General features: G+C 40.4%; 1 protein-coding gene across 30 annotated transcripts in view, besides 1 other annotated feature; it reads right to left on the reverse strand.

The window, feature by feature from the left end:
• The window catches only part of DTNB (dystrobrevin beta), a 296335-nt gene that overhangs the window by 65076 nt on the left and 212891 nt on the right, over nucleotides 1–18368 (reverse strand). For 16 of the 30 annotated variants that reach the window (NR_147180.2, NM_001351393.2, NM_001351392.2 and 13 more), the window contains one exon: nucleotides 9230–9317. Coding sequence is in view for 29 of the 30 variants with exons in the window: in NM_001351393.2 (NP_001338322.1) it covers nucleotides 9230–9317 (88 nt within the window). In the remaining variant the exon portion in view is untranslated. Of the gene's footprint in view, nucleotides 1–9229; nucleotides 9318–13086; nucleotides 13177–18368 lie in introns of all 30 variants that reach the window. The other 14 variants (NM_001320935.2, NM_001394686.1, NM_001320932.2 and 11 more) reach the window with 1 other exon arrangement.
• Nucleotides 10875–10934: an enhancer, noted in NCBI's record as "active region_15457". NCBI's record gives its function as "activates an Ori minimal core promoter by ATAC-STARR-seq in GM12878 lymphoblastoid cells {active_cell/tissue: GM12878}" and the evidence as "EXISTENCE:reporter gene assay evidence [ECO:0000049][PMID:35858748]".

Here is an 18368-nt window from a genome sequence, read left to right on the forward strand (position 1 = left end):
CTTATCCCTAGTCCAGAAACGTTTCTCTTGGTCAGTGGTTATCAAACTTGGCCATGCACTCCAGTCACCTAGAGGGATTTTTAAACCCCCAGTGCTCAGGTTGTATCATCCAAGACCAATTAAATTGATGTCTGGAACTGGGCTTAGGCAGCAGTAGTTTCAAAAACTTCTCGGGTGATTTCAATGTGCATCCAAGGTCGATGCGCTGCTCTAAGAATCAGAGTTCTTGTCAAAACAGACAGAACTGGGTCATTGTAGAACAACTCCTGCACATTTTTGTTGTTTTAAGAAAAAAACCAATTTACTTAGCACCAAATACCAAAAACATTGGTTATGTAAGTAAAAAACACTGGTAGTGTATATCTGACTGTAAGAATGGAAAGTGATCCCAGAAGGGTATTTAAAGGGTACCACATTCACAACTAAAGTCACATAACCCTGTGTTTGAATCTCAAATCTAGCTGAGGAACCTTGGGCAAGATGATTTAACCTTGTTCTGCCTCGGTTTCCTTTTTTGTAAAGTCACATTGGGAATCAACTATCCTTCAGAGTTGCTGTTAGAACCAGAGGTAATAGTTCTAAAATATCCAGCACAGGGTTATAAATACAGATGGCTCTCGAAATGGTAGCTGTTATTTCTCATTCTGTTATTAGGTCAAAGCAGTCAGGCAGGGTAACATCTGGAGGAAAAAGACTTCTCAAATGCCACAAACATATAAGCTGAATGAGTTTAGGAGACAAAAGGTGAGAGATCATCTAAAAATTAAACAATAATCAAAGACCTAACAATGAATGCAACTGTTAGGTTGAATGGATGGAGGCGTTAAGGCCAGAGCAATGAAAGGCAAAAAAGGGATCAGAGGATCATATTATAAAAGTTAAAGCTCTGTATTTAAGAATGAAGGCTCCAGACTGGGATCCATTTACTATTACATGCAAATAAGGTGTTGAGGTCCCTTTAGTCCTTGGAAGGACAAGGTGCCTCTAACTTCCTGTCACAGGAGCATTCTCTCAGGTTCAGGTGGACTCACAGAGCTCCATCATCTTAATGAGAGGAGACACATCTGAAAAATACAGGATAATAAATAAGACCCCTTTGAGTCAAACTGGGCAAATGTTATAAAACCAAGGGATGCCGACACAGTCAGCAAACGGTAATCCAGTAGCATGCATTTCTGGAGCCTCCTAAAAAGAGCTCGGAGACTCCTATCTGTATGAATGTGGCAAGATGAGTTCCAAAGAGATGCACCTGGTATCAGCTAGGCTTTCTTTATATTCCAGGGGCAGCCTGCCCATCACCTAAGCTGCCCTAGACTACCCAGAGGGCTGTGGATTGTCACCCTCTCTCAAAAATCCAATCTGCTGTTGAAGGCAGTGATTCCCAAGCTCACCGTAAATCAGAAGGCTGGGAGTTTTCTTTTTTCCAATAAAAATGGATGGGCCCTAAATCCAGAGATTCTGATTCAGAAGGTCTGAGGCAAAGCCAAGGATCTATATATTTTTAAAATACTTCATACATGATTACAACATGTAGGGAGGTTTGGAGCCATTACATGTGTGCGAAACATCATAGGAGACTGTCGATCTTTAATTATAATGGGCCATGAGGGTATTTCTGAATGCTGCATGCCTGGAGCAGCTGACAAGGAGATGGGGGCTGTGCAGCCTGGGATCTGAAAGAAAGCTGCTCAGAAATATTTTAAGTGTGAGGTAGCATGACAATGGGTGATAGTTTCCCCTTTCTTTCACCTTTCTTCCAAGTTTTCCATAATGAATTTTAAATTTTTTTATAAGGGAAAAAAAACCCTTAAAGGTAAACAAAACATCTGATTACATCTTGGTGACGTTTGTGATGACACTTTAAGAATTTGCTATTACGACTACAATTTACCACACATTATAGTTTTGTTTTTAAAAAAGGAATTTAGGACCGGGCGCGGTGGCTCACACCTGTAATCCCAGCACTTTGGGAGGCTGAGGCAGGTGGATCACCTGACGTCAGGAGTTCAAGACCAGCCTGGCCAACATGGTGAAACCCTGTCTCTATTAAAAACATACAAAAAATTAGCCGGGTGTGGTGGCAGGTGCCTGTAATCCCAGCTACTTGGGAGGAAGCTGAGGCAGGAGAATTTCTTGAACCTGGGAGGAGGAGGTTGCAGTAAGCCGAGATTGGGCCACTGCACTCCAGCCTGGGCAACAGAGTGAGACTCCATCTCAAAAAAAAAAAAAAAAAGAAATGTAGGCACTTCAGGAAAACAAATTCTCTCTCCTGGCTCATATAAGCAACGTGAAATGTCTTTCTTCAAAGGTCAGCCCACAGAGGTTTCTGCAGCCCCGCTCCCCATCTAGGGAGAAGTTATGGCACGGACGCTGAAGCATGCTACAGGGCGCACTGCTGGCTGCTCAAATTATTTAACAATGTGGAAGAAGGTCTTTGAAAAAAATCAATACAAACCTATCTGGCAGGTTATAAATAAATTCTTTCGAGCACTACACCCACTTTATGCAAAGCACTTGTATCAATGTGAGATTAGAGGATTAGGAGTTTCTGTATAACAGAACTCTAGTCAAGAAGAATCCTTCCTGAGTGGCTCAATAGTTATAAGATAACTACACTCTGCAAAATAAACCCAAGATGAAAGGGCCCAAACATATCAGTATTCATTCTAACAACGATCATTTCCAGAAGAATTAAAGAATTGGCATCAGAAACTATCAGGTGTAAAGAGACTTATCTTGTTTGCAGTAAGGGAGTACTGAAATCTTTTCAAGGTCAAATGGCTTTGGAGCTTTTATTGACAACATTTTAAAAGTACTATGTAAACTCAGTAAGACTATATAACGGCATAAAATATACTTAATTTTTAAAATCCAACCATAGCACGGCCCATCTCAACAAGTTTATTTATACATTTTAATGTCTAAAATACCTAGAGCAGTTGTGACTGACTGAGGGCATGTCTGAGGTTTAACTAACCAAATAGCACTTTTCTGTTTCTTTCTCAGGCTTTTTCTTCTATTCTGTTCCATTTCACTAACTAACCTTTAGAGTTGTAATGTTAGAGTCAGATACGTGAGCTGACATTAGATTTTCAAGGAAAGGATTTTGAAATCTAAACAAACTCAAAGGGATAAGTTACTTTTTGGGGGAGAAACAAAGCAAGAATTCCCATTTGCAGCTTTCGTAACTCTATTTCCCTATGAAGATAAAACATAAATTGGTACGCATTTCCAAAATGGACGTACTGGTTTGTTTAATATGGTCCTGCATGAGCCCGCCTGTCTGACTTCATTCCAGCATTGTTCTCTGCATTCTAGCCACAATGTCAACTTTCAGGTCATGCGACCTCCAGCCTCAGGGCCTTTACATATGCTGAAATACCCCGCTGGGCATACACTTCATTCTCTTTACCTGGTTAATGCTTGGACACTCTGTTGTTTTGGCTTCAGCTCATTCCTCCTTCCATCTCACTCTTTGCATCTAGGTTTAATTCCTTATCTCCCGAATTATAACCTCCGGTAGTTAAATCTTAGTAGTTAGGAGACAGGACAGTATCCCTGTCCCAGCTTGGCCACTTAGCACACCATGTGACCCTGGGTAGTTTTTTTTTTTTTTTTTTAATCTCTCTGAAGCTTAGTTTCCTCAACAAGAACGTTTTGAATAATAAACTAGCTAATACATGCAAAGCACTTAGAATAATGACTGGCACAAAGTAAATATTCAATAAATACTAGCTATTAGTATTACTCTTTTAGGATGAATCTTACTGTGACCTCTCTGTCCTTGTGAGAAAGGGTCTTTATTTCTCCTTTTGACAGTTCATCTAGTTCCTTTTGGTATACTATTCAACCGTCTGTTTTTATAAGGAAAATTCTTAAGGTTTTTTCACAAACACTGGTAACATTGGATGTAATCGACTGTTTTATTTAATTTTTGAGACAGGGTCTTGCTGTGTTGCCCAGCCTGGAGTGTAGTGGCATGATCACAGTTCACTGCAACCTTGAACTTCTGGGCTCAAGCAATTCTCCCACGTCAGCCTCCCAAGCAGCTGTGACTACAGGCACATGCCACCACACCTGGCTATTTTTGTTTTTTTTTTCTAACTTTTCATCTTTTAGTAGAGACGAGGTCTCACTATGTTGCTGAGACTGGTCTTGAACTCCTGGGCTCAAGCAATCTGCCCACCTTGGCCTCCCAAAGTGCTGGGATTACAGGTGTGAGCCACTGTATCTGGCTTTGTTTTTAAAGGGATTTTTTTTTTCCTTTATAAATTGTTGTATTGTTTCTGGGGAGAAATCTAGTAGTGAATCCCTTGTAGATAAAGTAACGTCTTATGTGTTTGCTTTCTGAGGATTCTATCTTTGTATTCTGTAGTTTCACTATGATATGTCTAGTTGTAGAATTATTTTTATTTATGTATCTGGGGACTCATTGCGATATATTCATCTGAGAATGAATGTCTTGAACACATTTTGGAAACTTAGCCATTAATTCTTCAAACATTTTTTAACCCTAATTCTATTTTCTTTTTTGGAATTCCAGTTACATGACTGTTGGTTCTCTATCTCCCATATCTGAAGACCTTGTTTCAGATTTTTCATCTTTCTGTGTTGTGTTTTGGAAAATTTTCTTAAATATATTTTCTAGTTCACTAATTCTCTATTCATGTGTCTAATCTGACATTTAACCCATCCACCAAGTTTTAAATTTCAATAACTTTTGTTTTAAAAATCTGTAATTTCTATGTGATTTGTTTTCAACTTTGTTCTTTTAAGACAGTATTTTGTCAGGTTTTTAATTCCTTCTTTTAGGTCTTTAGAAATCTTAAACATAGCTATTTTATAGCCAATAACTCTAATATCTAAAGCCATTGAGGGTCTCATTTTGCAAAGTCAGCACAGGGGTTCAAGTTTAGTTGGACTCTTTCAGTGGGAGCACTGTTAGGTCTCAATTGAGAATGTAAGCAGAAATTTATACTGTGCTGCTTCTACCAGGTGCCTTGGGGTTAGTTTTAATGTTAAAATTTCACCTTGGTGATTCTCAAACTATAACGTAATGTAAATGTACCCAAAGTAAGTATAGACAGGCCTAAGGTTTTGAATTTCCAGAGGAGACGACTTCTTCCACTGCAACAGGAGACCTATAAGCTTTCTTTTTCTGTGTGCTGGCAGCTAGTTATCTTTTTTTTTTTTTTTTTTTTTTGAGACAAGAGTCTTGCTCTGTTGCCCAGGCTGGAGTACAGTGGTGCGATCTCAGCTCACTGCAACCTCTGCCTCCTGGGCTCAAGTGATTCTCCTGCCTCAGTTTCCCAAGAAGCTGGGATTACAGGCGTATGCCACCACACCTGGCTAATTTTTTTTTGTATTTTTAGTAGAGACGGGGTTTCACCATGTTGCCCAGGCTGGTCTTGAACTCCTTACCTCAGGTGATCCACCCACCTCGGCCTCCCAAAGTCCTGGGATTACAGGAGTGAGCCACCATGCCCGGCCTAGTTATCTTTTATACAACATATTCACCAAGGGTATAATGCTTCAAGGGCCTACCTTAATGTGAGAACCTCATTTCCAACTCTTCACTTTGCACGTAACCGAGGTTTTGCCACACAAATTCCTGACAATTGACATTCAAGCACAGGGCAGGGGTGGCAGTAGTAGTGACAGCAACAGTAGCTCTTGGCCTGCTTTGGTTTTCAGTTACTTTTCAATTCCTAGGAAATTGAATTCTCTTCTACTTATTTTCAGATCCCAACTCAAGTAACACTTTCTCACAGAAGCTATCCCTTACTCTCCAGAATAGATCAGGCACCTGCTCTACACTTCCACAGCTCCCTGCATTTTTCCTCCACTGCACATAATAATTTGTAGTTATGTTTAGTAGTGTGATTATTTGTTTAATGTTTGTCTCTGTCACTACACTGTTAGTTCCATGAGGGCAGGAATCATTTGTCCACCATAGTATCCAATCTGGCACAGTACAGCAACAAAAGAAGTATTTGCTGAATGAATAAAATGAGTGTGTGTGGCTGGTTGGGGGTGGGTGAATATTAATGTGAACATAACTCCTCAAAGAAAGTAAAGAATTGAAAAAGGAGAAGGAAAAGAGAAAACATTTTATTATGAATATTTCAAAATTGCAGGAAACACACTGCAAATCCCTGGGGAGCCACTTCCTATTTCAATCAAACCCTTATTCAACATTCTTGGTTCCTTTTTGTTTTAATTGAGATATAATACTTAGATCTTAAGTATTCCATTGACGGGCGCGGTGGCTCACGCCTGTAATCCCAGCACTTTGGGAGGCCGAGGCAGGCGGATCATGAGGTCAGGAGATCGAGACCATCCTGGCTAACACGGTGAAACCCCATCTCTACTAAAAATACAAAAAATTAGCCGGGCGTGGTGGCGGGCACCTGTAGTCCCAGCTACTCAGGAGGCTGAGGCAGGAGAATGGTGTGAACCCAGGAGGCAGAGCTTGCAGTGAGCTGAGATCGTGCCACATTGCACTCCAACCTGGGCGACAGAGCAAGATTCCATCTCAAAAAAAAAAAAAAAAAAAAGTATTTCATTTAATCCGTTTTGACAAATGTACACTCCTGCAACCCACACCCCTATTGAAATGTGGAATATTTCTATCAAGTCAGAAAGTTTCCTCGTCTCTCTTCAATATTTCCATTTCTAGAAACAGCCTCTTATCTGATTATGATTAGGAGTTGATGATTAACTTATGGCAAAGGATAAGTTAGTTTGCCTATTCTAGAATTTCACATAGAAAAAAACAGTACGTACTTTTTTTGTCTGGCTTCTTTTACTACTCATAATATTTTTGATATTCACCAATGTCGTTGCATGTATCAATGTTATTCCTTTTTGTGTTGAGACAATTCTATTGTATGAATATAACACATCTTGTTTATCTATTCTGTTGATAACTACGTGGGCTATTCCAGCTATTATGAATTGAACTGCTATGAACATTCTTGTACAACGCTTTTTGTGAACATGTTTTCATTTCTCTTGGATAAATATCTAAGAGTAGAATTGCTGGGTCATAGTATAAATTTTGCTTCTTTAAGAAACTGCCAAATAGTTTTCCAAAGTAGCTGTATGATTTTATAGGCCCGCCAACAACAGGGTGAGATTTCTGGTTGCTCCACATCCTCTCCAACATTTGGTATCATCCAACTTTTTCATTGTAGCCATTCTGGTGGGTATACAGTGGTATCATTGGCATTTTCCTGATGATTAATGATATCAAGCACATTTTCATGTGCTTATTGGCCACTGGCATATCTTCTTTGTGGAATATCTGTTCAAGTCTTTTGCTCATTTTTTAAAAAAGGCTTGTCTTTTTATTGCTGAGGTGCAGGAATTCTTTATATATTCTGTCCTTTGTCAGACATGTTTTGCAAATATTTTCTTTCAGATAGTGGTTTGTCTGTTTTTCTTTTTCTTTTTTTTTTTTTTGACAGAGTCTCGCTCTGTCACCCAGGGTGGAGTACAGTGGCGTGATCTTGGCTCACTGCAAGCTCCACCTCCCAGGTTCATGCCATCCTCCTGCCTTAGCCTCCCAAGTAGCTGGGACTACAGGCGCACACTGCCACGCCCGGCTAATTTTTTGTATTTTTAGTAGATATGGGGTTTCACCGTGTTAGCCAGGATAGTCTCGATCTCCTGACCTTGTGACCCGCCTGCCTTGAATAGTATCTTCTAATGAGCAAAAGATTTTACATTTGATAGGGTCTAATTTATCAATTTTTAAAATGGTTTGTGATCCCTATAAACTCTAATGAATTTTTATTCTTCCTAAGAGAATGAAGAATTATTCTCCTATACTTTTAGTAGCTTTATGGTTTTAGCTTTTATGTTTAAGTTTATGATACATTTCAAATTGATTTATTTGTATGGTATGAGGCAGGGGTTGAGATTCTTTTCTTCCCTGTGTAGATATCCAGTTGTTCCAACAGCATTTGTTAAAAATAGAAAGAGTTTCCTTTTCTGACTGATTTGCTTCTTACCTTTGTTGAAAGTCATTTGACCTTACACATGAGTGTCTTTTATGGATACTCTATTCTGTTCCTTTGATTTATTTGTTCATCCTTTTGCCAGTATCTTACTTTCTTGATTACTATAGCTTTATAGTAAGTCTTAATGTCAAGTAGGATTAAGTCTGCCAACTTTGTTTTTCTTTTTCAAGACTGTTATGGTTATTCTAGGTCCTTTGGTTCTCCAAATACATTTTAAAAACAGTTTGCTAATTTCTATAAAAAAGCCTGTTGAGATTTGAATTGGTATTAAATCTATAGATCAATTTAGGAAAATCTGCCATCCTAACAATATTAAATCTTTTAATCCATCAATATGGCATACCTCTTCATTTATTTAGGTTTTCTTTAATTTCTTTTAGCAATGTTTTACAGTTTTCAGACTTGAACATCTTCCATTAAATTTATCCATAAGTATTTGGTATTTTTAATGCTACAGTAAATAGTATTTTTCTTTTTGTGAGACAGGGTCTTGCTCTGTTGCCCAGGCTGGAGTGCAGTGGAACAATCATGGCTCACTGCAGCCTTGACCTCCCCGGGCTCAACTAATCTTCCCACCTCAGCCTTCCCAGCATCTGGGACTACAGGTGCGTGCTACCACACCTGGCTAATTTTTGTATTTTTTATAGAGACAGCATTTCACTATGCTGCCAGAGGGTGGTCTCAAACTCCTGAGCTCAAGTGATCTGCCCGCCTCAGCCTCCCAAGGTGCTGGGATATACACTTTATATCTTGTAGCAATACTATAAAATTTACTTATCTGTTCTACTAGTGTTTTTTTAGATTTCTTAGGACTTCATATGCACAATCATGTCATCTTCAAATAAAGACTGCTTTACTTCTGTCTTTCCAATATTTATACCCCTTTCTTCTTGTCTTGTTGCATTAATTAGGTCCTCCAGTATAATTTAGAATAGAGGTGGTGAAAGTGGATATCTCTGAATTGTTCCCAATATTAGGGGGAAATATTTCAAAATTTAAACTGTAGGTGTGATCTTAACTGTAGGTTTTTGTAGGTGTTCTTTATCAGGGTGAGGAAGTTTCCTTCTACTCTTAGCATGTGGAAAAGTGGAAAGTGTCCCCGAGGTACCTGTTCTCCTAAATTTCATGTCTACTATTCCCTTTCCATTTGCATATTAAAGTAATGCTAATTTCTGCTACTCTCCTGGGATCCTCCATTAACTTACCACGTTTCCTGCTTCTGCAGCCAGCCGGGCAGCATAGCGAGCTATAAGACGGTGTTCCTCATCCAGTCGGCTAGGACTGTCCAGAACACTGCCAAGGAAATAAAAATGCAACAAGTGTCTATTAAACATCCCTTATTCTTGTTCCATTCTCAGAAAGAACAGATGGAAGAAAAGCTCATAAAAGAATGGTAATAAAAGAACTAGAGGCCTGGGTCATAGATACTAATGGTCTTCTGAAAAAAAGGGGATTTAGAGAAATGAGGAGGCCACATTTGTCATTCCTCACTGGCAGCACATCCCCGCTGCTCCTCCACCATCAAAGGGGCACTTCATTTTGAATGCAAGGCCTGAGAAAACACAGGGCACCCACAAAGTCTGAGGCAGGGATTTCTAACCAAATGTTTAAAACTGATGACTTTTTAGACCTTGATCTCAAATTCAAAAAGACCAAGAGAAAACTAAAGCATCATGAAAAACAGAGGGCTGAGAAAAAATATACTTAACACTGGCTAAGCAAAAGTTTGGCCTTGCCAGGGCAGGCCAAACACACTGTAAAGCTGGAAAGATTCCATGACATCAAATATTCCCCTTTTCATGCCCCTTTCTCTTCCTTTACTATGCTCATTCTACATCTATAGCCCCATCTTGGAGTTAATTAGTTTAATGCATTACTTTTCAACAAGAGTACCAATACTCTAAAAATCTAAGGACCCATTCAGACAGGCTATCAGACAATGTGGTATCTGGATGAGGGAAGGGTTCTTGAGTAATAGGCTGGCTCTGCATATGGGATGCTGATATGGAACTTCTGATTCTGAAATACATGACTTCTTTAGTATACCAAATGCTATTTATCCTTATCAAGACAGTCCTAGATTAATAGGGACTGTGGCTATATAATTCTCTGTTTAGGACTGGCAGATGCTTTAAGACGACAGTGATGATGTTGACTAAATGACCAGAGGTGGCTGTTGTGGCTTACCTCCACTTTGGCCCTATGTTCTTGGGTTTCCAAAAACCCTTGATCAGAGTTTGGCAGTATGACAAGTCATACAGAAAAATTTAAAGACATGACTTCAATACTCATCGAAGTTTGTTATAATTACTGAGGGGAATCTGGGAAGGGTGTGGCTAAATCAATAAAGACCTGTCTGAACTTTTCATGTGTAGAATCAACTATATTTTTTCTAGTTTTTTTTTTTTTAATCTTTCTATCTCTTTGGCTAAGTCTTTAAGCTTAACTTAGTCTTTCTTCTGGGATTTTTTTTTAAGTGCTTCGAGTCTTCGCCTATGACATTTGTCAACACTTTATAATTTTAAGCATGCAAATATCCATCTTCAGGATGATCACCCTCTCAAAAATGATCTTGTAATAAGAACAGACTACTATTAGGCGGCTTTAATATTTTAGGGTCAAGGCCCCAAGGTGAGAGATAAACTATAATATTTGTGCTTTAAAGGTATTTGTCTGAAATAAGAGAACTATCTTTTAAATTAAAAAAAAAACAATAAAAATGAATGCTTAACGATACAAGTGGATCATATTATGGAGGGATTGGTAGCCGAAGAAGTGGGGCCTAAAGTGGCTGACCTCTGTTATCTGGCAAGGGATACAATAGGTTCTTCTGTGCAAAAGAGCTCCTTTTTCTCAATCACATTCTATCTCCTTAGGAAGGTTGATCCTATTTGTCATTTATACATGAGTGTGGATGACAGACTGCTTTAATTGGCTATGTTTTCTAGCCAGAAACTAGAAGCTTGTGTTGATGAGAGGTTTTAAGGTCAATGATTAGAAAGGATCCTTATTCTTCTGTTTGAATTGACTTTCATTTTCAGAATTAGTTAGCCAGAAAAGTTCTGACTTCTCGGAAGAAGTATGAAGCTCAGCTTCTTAGATTACTAATCAAGAAGTCATGTAGTACTCACTCACTCATCATGTTCTCCCAGGGCTACCAGCCACCAATTTTTGTTCAGGGAGCCAAGGTGAGACTTCAGGGCCTTAGCTAAACCTACCATAAATCTTATTGGGCTAAATTACTAGGTAACAGTCTCTTGTCAAACATTCTGCTGCTATTTTTACCATGGAAACTTTTGCTCACTCTGGACAATTGCCTTTAGTGATAATAAAGAATTTGTCTTGCCTAGGGTGAAACAACTCTGTTCCTAGAGACCAAGAGGCTGGGACAGTGTGCAAAGAAATCATCTGTTGGATGAGGAGACACTCTGTGATGCAGTGCACACAATTATCAGGCCCTTCCTTCCCTCCTAGAGGGTAAGCCTATTAAACATATTTAGAAGCTTAGAAAACCCTACTTCTCAGCCGGGCGTAGTGGCTCATGCCTGTAATCCCAGCACTTTGGGAGGCTGAGGCCGGCGGATCACGAGGTCAGGAGATCGGGACCATCCTGGCTAACACAGTGAGACCCCGTCTCTACTAAAAATATACAAAAAAATTAGCTGGGTGTGGTGATGAGCGCCTGTGGTCCCAGCTACTCGGGAGGTTGAGGCAGGAGAATGGCATGAAGCCGGGAGGCAGAGCTTGCAGTGAGCTGAGATGGCACCACTGCGCTCCAACCTGGACGACACAGTGAGACTCTGTCTCAAAAAAAAAAAAAAAGAAAAGAAAACTCTACTTCTCCAAGCTTTAGAGATACATAAATACCCCAGAATAGTGATGCTATTTAGTCATATCAGGAAAACTATGGAAAACGGTATAAAGTATAATATTTAAAAGTCTTTTTCATATGTATATTTCCCAACTGACTATTAATTTATTCTTCTGTTATTAGGGGAAGTAGCAGCAAGGTCAGATGACCCTCCCAAGGAGCCATGGCATGCTATAAGCAAAACTAAGATCAAAATTTAAAGCTTCAGCCTCTGTTATGTGTACAGCTTATAAATTATGGTTTTCTCTCTAAGAACAAGAATCTCAAAGCATGGCTTTCCAAGTTGTTTGGCACTGTGATTCTTCTTTGCTGTTATGTAGGGGAAGGATGGCTTTAGATTGCTTAAACTTTACCTGTCATCCTACTTGAAGAATGGTGGTGGGTGTGGGCATGGAGTGAGCAGGAGACTTTGGACCTACCTGAAAGTAATACCACTTTTTTCGGTATTAAATCTTTTAAAAAAAGGATTAACTTTGCTATAGTTAGCAGTTATCAAACGTTTTTCCATCCCAAACCACTGAAGAATCAGACACATTCTCTTATTAACAGTGAGTCACTACCGCAGTAGTTTTCAGGGTAAGGGGAATGTGGAGCTATTATAATACATGTAACTATTATAATATGAGAGGGTCTACATAATTTGGAAAAAGACCCTCAGGTGACAGTGACCCAATACCATTGTTGGGAATCACCGGTTTAAATAATCAACACTGACAGATTCCTGCTAACAGATAAAGGGTGGTAAAGATGTAATAGGGTGACAGTATCAAAGTCCCCAGATAAGACAAAGTGGGATATCTGTGGGTTGATCAACTCTAAACTTGGAATGTCAATAGAAAGATTTCATTAGTTAGGTAAGAATGAACAGGAAGAGGTTGCATCAGATACCTCTGTGAGTACTGCGATCCCTCATAGGTTTATATATTTTTTGAGTGTAAGCTGAAGGAAGTGAACCCCACTTTAAAGGAGAATGTCTGACTCCATGTTTAGGTCAGCGCCCAGGCTTGGCAAGCCTCCCTCTCTTGTAGAAGCTAATGCTTAGCAACTATTTTAACTCTGCCAAACATAGCTGGTAGCTGCTCAAGAAAAACCTGACATGCAGTTTTTTTTCCAGCTGACAACCCCAGGTAGCAAAGCTCTCCCTCCCTCTGATCACCCGTGGCTACCCACTGCTGCTGCACCACCACTGACCGTGCACAGTGCTGCAGACGGGCCACATAGGAGGCTATCAGCGCATGCTCATCGGCCAAGTGACTGGGTATATCCTGGCTATACTGTAACCTAGGAACAATGGAGGCAAAGACAGCAAGCGTGACACAAACACATACAGAGGGAGAAATGAACATGGATTAAAATGAGCAAACTTCAAAGAAAAATTTAAAAAATAATAAATCATGATAAGGAAAACAATAAAAAACCCACAATGCATAATGGAATATGGTGTTAGATCCTCAGGAATCCATCTCTCAAATCCTTTAAACAAAAGCAGTCCTTCAGGAGTGGCGCTGGCCCACTGACATGACAGCCCTTGGGAAGAACCTGTTGAGTCGGCAGGGGAGCCGCATGTACCACTTTTGTTCGGGTGCTGCGCTCTGTGATGATGCACTTTTTAGAAGATGCCTTCTGGCAAGACAACTGAGGCACAGCCAATCTACTAAATATCACTACATGACCCCCTAGCGCTATGCTTTTATAAGCTTTTGTGTACATCTAAGAATTTTCAGTGTTACTTCATGTTGCCAGTTAAACATTTTTATTTCTATAAGGATACTGCCTTTAGCATCAGTCTATTTCTCCCATAAAACTGGTACCCATCCCAAACTCATTAGAACTGCGCCTAATTATAAGGCAACACTATATACTCTGAGTGAGGCTCTCTCTTATAGATACATGAAAGGTCCTTAAGCACATGGTCTTCTAACTTTTTACTACAGAAATATTAAAACTTGCATAAAATAGAGTAATCTAATGACTACCCCTCAGGTACCCATAGCAAAACTTGAATGAATGTCAACATTTTGTCAATGTTATCTAATCGAATTTTCATTCCTCCAACATTTTGTGCAGGGACGAGTGGCTAAAAGCAAACCCCAGGCAATTATTTCACCTGGGAATACTTGAGCCTGTACATCTATCAGATAGTAAAAACATTTCACACAACCTAACACCATTATCACACCTAAAAACACAGACAAAAATATTTTAGTATCCCAGTCCATCTGCCAATTTCCTCAAATCTTAAAAAATGTCCATTTACAATTAAAGTCAAGATCCAAACAAAGTCCCCACTTTGCAAATGGCTGGTAGGTTTCTTTTATGTTTGTATGTGACTGATACATTTCTGGGTTTTTTTTTGTTTTTGTTTTTTTGTTTTTTTGAGACAGAGTCTCGCTTTGTCTCCCAGGCTAGAGTGCAATGGCATGATCTCGGGTCACTGCAACCTCTGCCTCCTGGGTTCAAGCGATTCTCCTGTCTCAGCCTCCCAAGTAGCTGGGATTACAGGCGTGCACCACCAGCTAATTTTTGTATTTTTAGTAGAGACGGGTTTTCGCCTCTGTTGGCCAGGCTGGTCTTGAACTCCTGACCTCAAGTGATCTCCCTGCCTCAGCTTCTCAAAGTGCTGGGATTACAGGTGTGAGCCACTGCGCCCGGCCCCAGTCACCTTTCTGAAGCTCAAACTCTCCTACCTTTGGCCAGTGGGAGCTCCTGTAATAGGCTCTTGTGTTCTTTTGATATAACCATTAGACCTTATTAGCTTTCCTGCTTTCTAGCACAATAAAATGCTCTAGTTTTTTTTCTTTTTTTTCTTTTTTTGAGACGGAGTATCACTCTGTCACCCAGGCTGGAGTGCAGTGGTGCAATCTCAGCTCACTGAAACCTCCGCCTCCCAAGTTCAAGTGATTCTCCTGCCTCAGTCTCCTGTGTAGCTGGGATTATAGGCGTGCGCCACCACGCCCAGCTAATTTTTGTATTTTTAGTAGAGACGGGGTTTCACCATGTTGGCCAGGATGGTCTCGAACTCCTGACCTCAGGTGATCCACCCACCTTGGCCTCCCAGTGTGCTGAGAATACAGGTGTGAGCCACTGTGCCTGGCCCTGTAGTTTTGTTTGTTATATATCCTGTCCCAGACTTGGAATGAACCATCCTTCTAAGGATCCCTCGTTCCGTTTACTGGCAAAGAGTATTTAGAGACTGCAGTCAGGATGCTAGGGTGCCCACTGTTCTAGGCTCACCGATTCTAGGCCTTCTCAGTGGAAAAAGCTAGAAAATCTGTATATTTTAGAATGAAGAAAAATAAGTCCTCTCAGTGCTTTCAAGGTACCGTTCCATTTTCTTCTGGCTTGCATTGCTTTTAATCCTTTTCCCATTTGTCCCGAGAATACTCACTGGCAGCGCTTGCAGATACAGCATTTACCCTGAGATAACTTTCCCATGAAATATCTCGCTTTTATTATTATTCTCTCATCACTCTAGTACACGGACTTTGGAAAGAAAAGACATCATTCTATTTATAGCATTCTATTCTTAGTAGTGGTATTTCCATTTACAAAATACTGTAATTCTTGATTGCTGAAAATGCCAAAGCTTAGAAAGCGTAGCATTCCTGTGCATGATGTTAATTATTATTATTATTTTTTGAGACAGAGTATTACTCTGTCACCAGGCTAGAGTGCAGTGGCGTGATCTCAGCTCACTGCAACCTCTGCCTCCCGGGTTCAAGCCATCCTCCTGCCTCAGCCTCCCAAGTAGCTGGAACTACAGGTGCACGCCACCATGCTCAGCTAATTTTTTGTATTTTTAGTAGAGATGAGGTTTCACCATGTTGGCCAGGATGGTCTCGATCTCTTGACCTTGTGATCCACCCACCTCTGCCTCCCAAAGTGCTGGGATTACAGGTGTGAGCCACCATGCCTGGCTGATGTTAATTATTAACATCGTTCTCAAACGGCTGGCTGAAGATTCATTTAATGAATCAATTTTTTCCGAAATAGATGATTCTGATGACTCAGATGATTCTGATGTTAGTTCTGTTTAGAAATAACTACAAAAACAGTTTGTGTATTTTATTTTCACATTGAAAATCAGTCAGCTTTGCTTCAGCCTTAAAGAGCGTGTTTATGTAAAATTAAAGGAGCACTGGCAGCGAGCCGTACTTTTTTTCTAAATGGGAAAAGGGTTAATGAGAAATCAACAGTTAAAAAAAAAAAAAGAGAGAGAGAAATCAACAGTTGTTCTTATCTTTGTTTCCTGGTACGTAACATGTCTTTTTTTTAGGCAGGGTCTTGCTCTGTCACCCAGGCTGGAGTGCCATGGTGCAATCATGGATCAATGCAGCCTCAACCTCCTGGGCTGAAGCAATCCTCCTGCCTCAGTCTCCAGAGTAGCTGGGGCTACAGGTGTGTACCCCCACACCCGGCTAATATTTATTTATTTATTTATTTATTTTTGAGATGGAGTCTTGCTCTGTCGCCCAGGCTGGAGTGCAGTGGTGCAATCTCTGTTCACTGCAAGCTCTACCTCCCGGGTTCACGCCATTCTCCTGCCTCAGCCTCCTGATTAACTGGGACTACAGGTGCCCGCCACCAAGGCTGGCCAACTTTTTTGTATTTTTAGTAGAGACGGGGTTTCACCGTGTTAGCCAGGATGGTCTCGATCTCCCGACCTCGTGATCCGCCTGCCTCGGCCTCCCAAAGTGCTGGGATTACAGGCATGAGCCACCATGCCCAGCTCTAATTTTTAAATCTTTTGTAGAGACAGGGTCTCACTTTGTTGCCCAGGCTGTTCTTGAACTCTTGGGTTCAGGTATGTAATATGTCTTTTTTTTTTTTCTCTAGCTGCTTTTTAAATGTTTTATTCATCACTGATTTTCAGCAATTTGATTCTGATGTGCCTTGGTATAGTTTTCTCTTTGTTTATCCTGGCATACAGTTTGTTGTGTTTATAAGTATTTGTAGGTTTATAGTTTTTAATGAATATGTAAAAATTTCTTTGAAAAGTTGGGAAAAAATGTTTCTTAAATATTTTTTCTCCCTCTCGTCTGTTAGACTGCCTGACATTATCCCACAGGTCCCAGAGGCTCAGTTCGTTTTCAGTCATTTTCCTCTCGGTGCTCCACTCTGGGTAATTAGTATTACCGTGTCTTTAAGTTCAGTGTAAGTCCATCCATTGAATTTTTCATTTCGGACGTTATCCCTTTCAACTCTCTTGTAGGCCATTATAAGTATTTTAGCTTTTACTCTGATATGAGAAGCTATTGAGAGGTGACATATGGTTTTATTTTATTTATTTTATTTCTTGAGATGGAGTCTCGCTCTGTTGCCCAGGCTGGAGCGCAGTGGCGTGACCTTGGCTCACTGCAACCTCAGCCTCCTGGGTTCAAGTGATTCTCCTGCCTCAGCCTCCTGAGTAACTGGGATTACAGGCGTGTACCACCATGCCCAGCTAATTTTTGTATTTTTAGTAGAGACAGGGTTTTGCCATGGTGGCCAGGATGGTCTTGAACTCCTGACTTCAAGTGATCCACCCACCTAGGCCTCCCAAAGTGCTGGGATTACAGGTGTGAATCACCGCACCCGGCCCTGATATTATTTATATTTTAATAAGATCATTAGGCCGGGTGTGGTGGCTTATGTCTGTAATCCCAGCACGTTGGGAGGACGAGGTGGGAGGATCACTTGAGCCCAGGAGTTAAGAGAACAGCTTGGGCAACATAGCAAGACCCTCGTTTCTAAAAAAAATTAAAAGATATTTCCTCTCTAGAAAGTAAACTGCTAGAGAACAGGGGAAGATGCAGTCAATTAGAAAACAACTGCAATCTTCCAGGTGAGAGACAAGAGTGGGCTAGGAAAACAGCATTTAACAGAGGTCGTAAGAAATAACAGAATCTTGAACAAATTTCCATGGTGTTTTTGTATACAGTTGATCTCATAGTCAGGAAGTGGAGATGGATGTAAGGGAATGAGAGGAATCAAGGGTTCTGAATGAGCAACTGGGAAAATGGGATTGTCATGAACTGATGGGGAAGGCTAAGGGAGAAGTAGGTCTGGTGGGGGATGATAGAGAACTCAGTTTGGAACATGCTAATTATGAGATATGTATTAAATATCCAAGCGAAGGTACTCATCAGGAGGTGGATATACGAGGTAAGGGCTCAGGGAAAAGCTGTGGCCAGAAAAATACATTTAGAAGTCACCAATATTATCAGTGTTATAAAAAGTATGAGTCTGGCTACAGCTGCCTACTACCAGTGAGTGAAGACAGAAAAGAGAAGTGGTCCCTGTCACACACTACCATTCGGATTTCAAAGGAGTGTGGAAAAACTTGCAAAGGAGGCCAAGAAGAAATGAGAAAAACTAGGAGAGCATGATATCCGGAGGCCACGTGCAACAGGCGTTTCAAGTAGAAAGGAGAGATCTATGTCAAACGCTACTGACAGATCAAGTAAGGTTAACTACTGAAAACTGACCACTGG

The sequence above is a fragment of the Homo sapiens genome, chromosome 2 (assembly GCF_000001405.40).
Source record: "Homo sapiens chromosome 2, GRCh38.p14 Primary Assembly".
Lineage (NCBI taxonomy): Eukaryota > Metazoa > Chordata > Mammalia > Primates > Hominidae > Homo > Homo sapiens.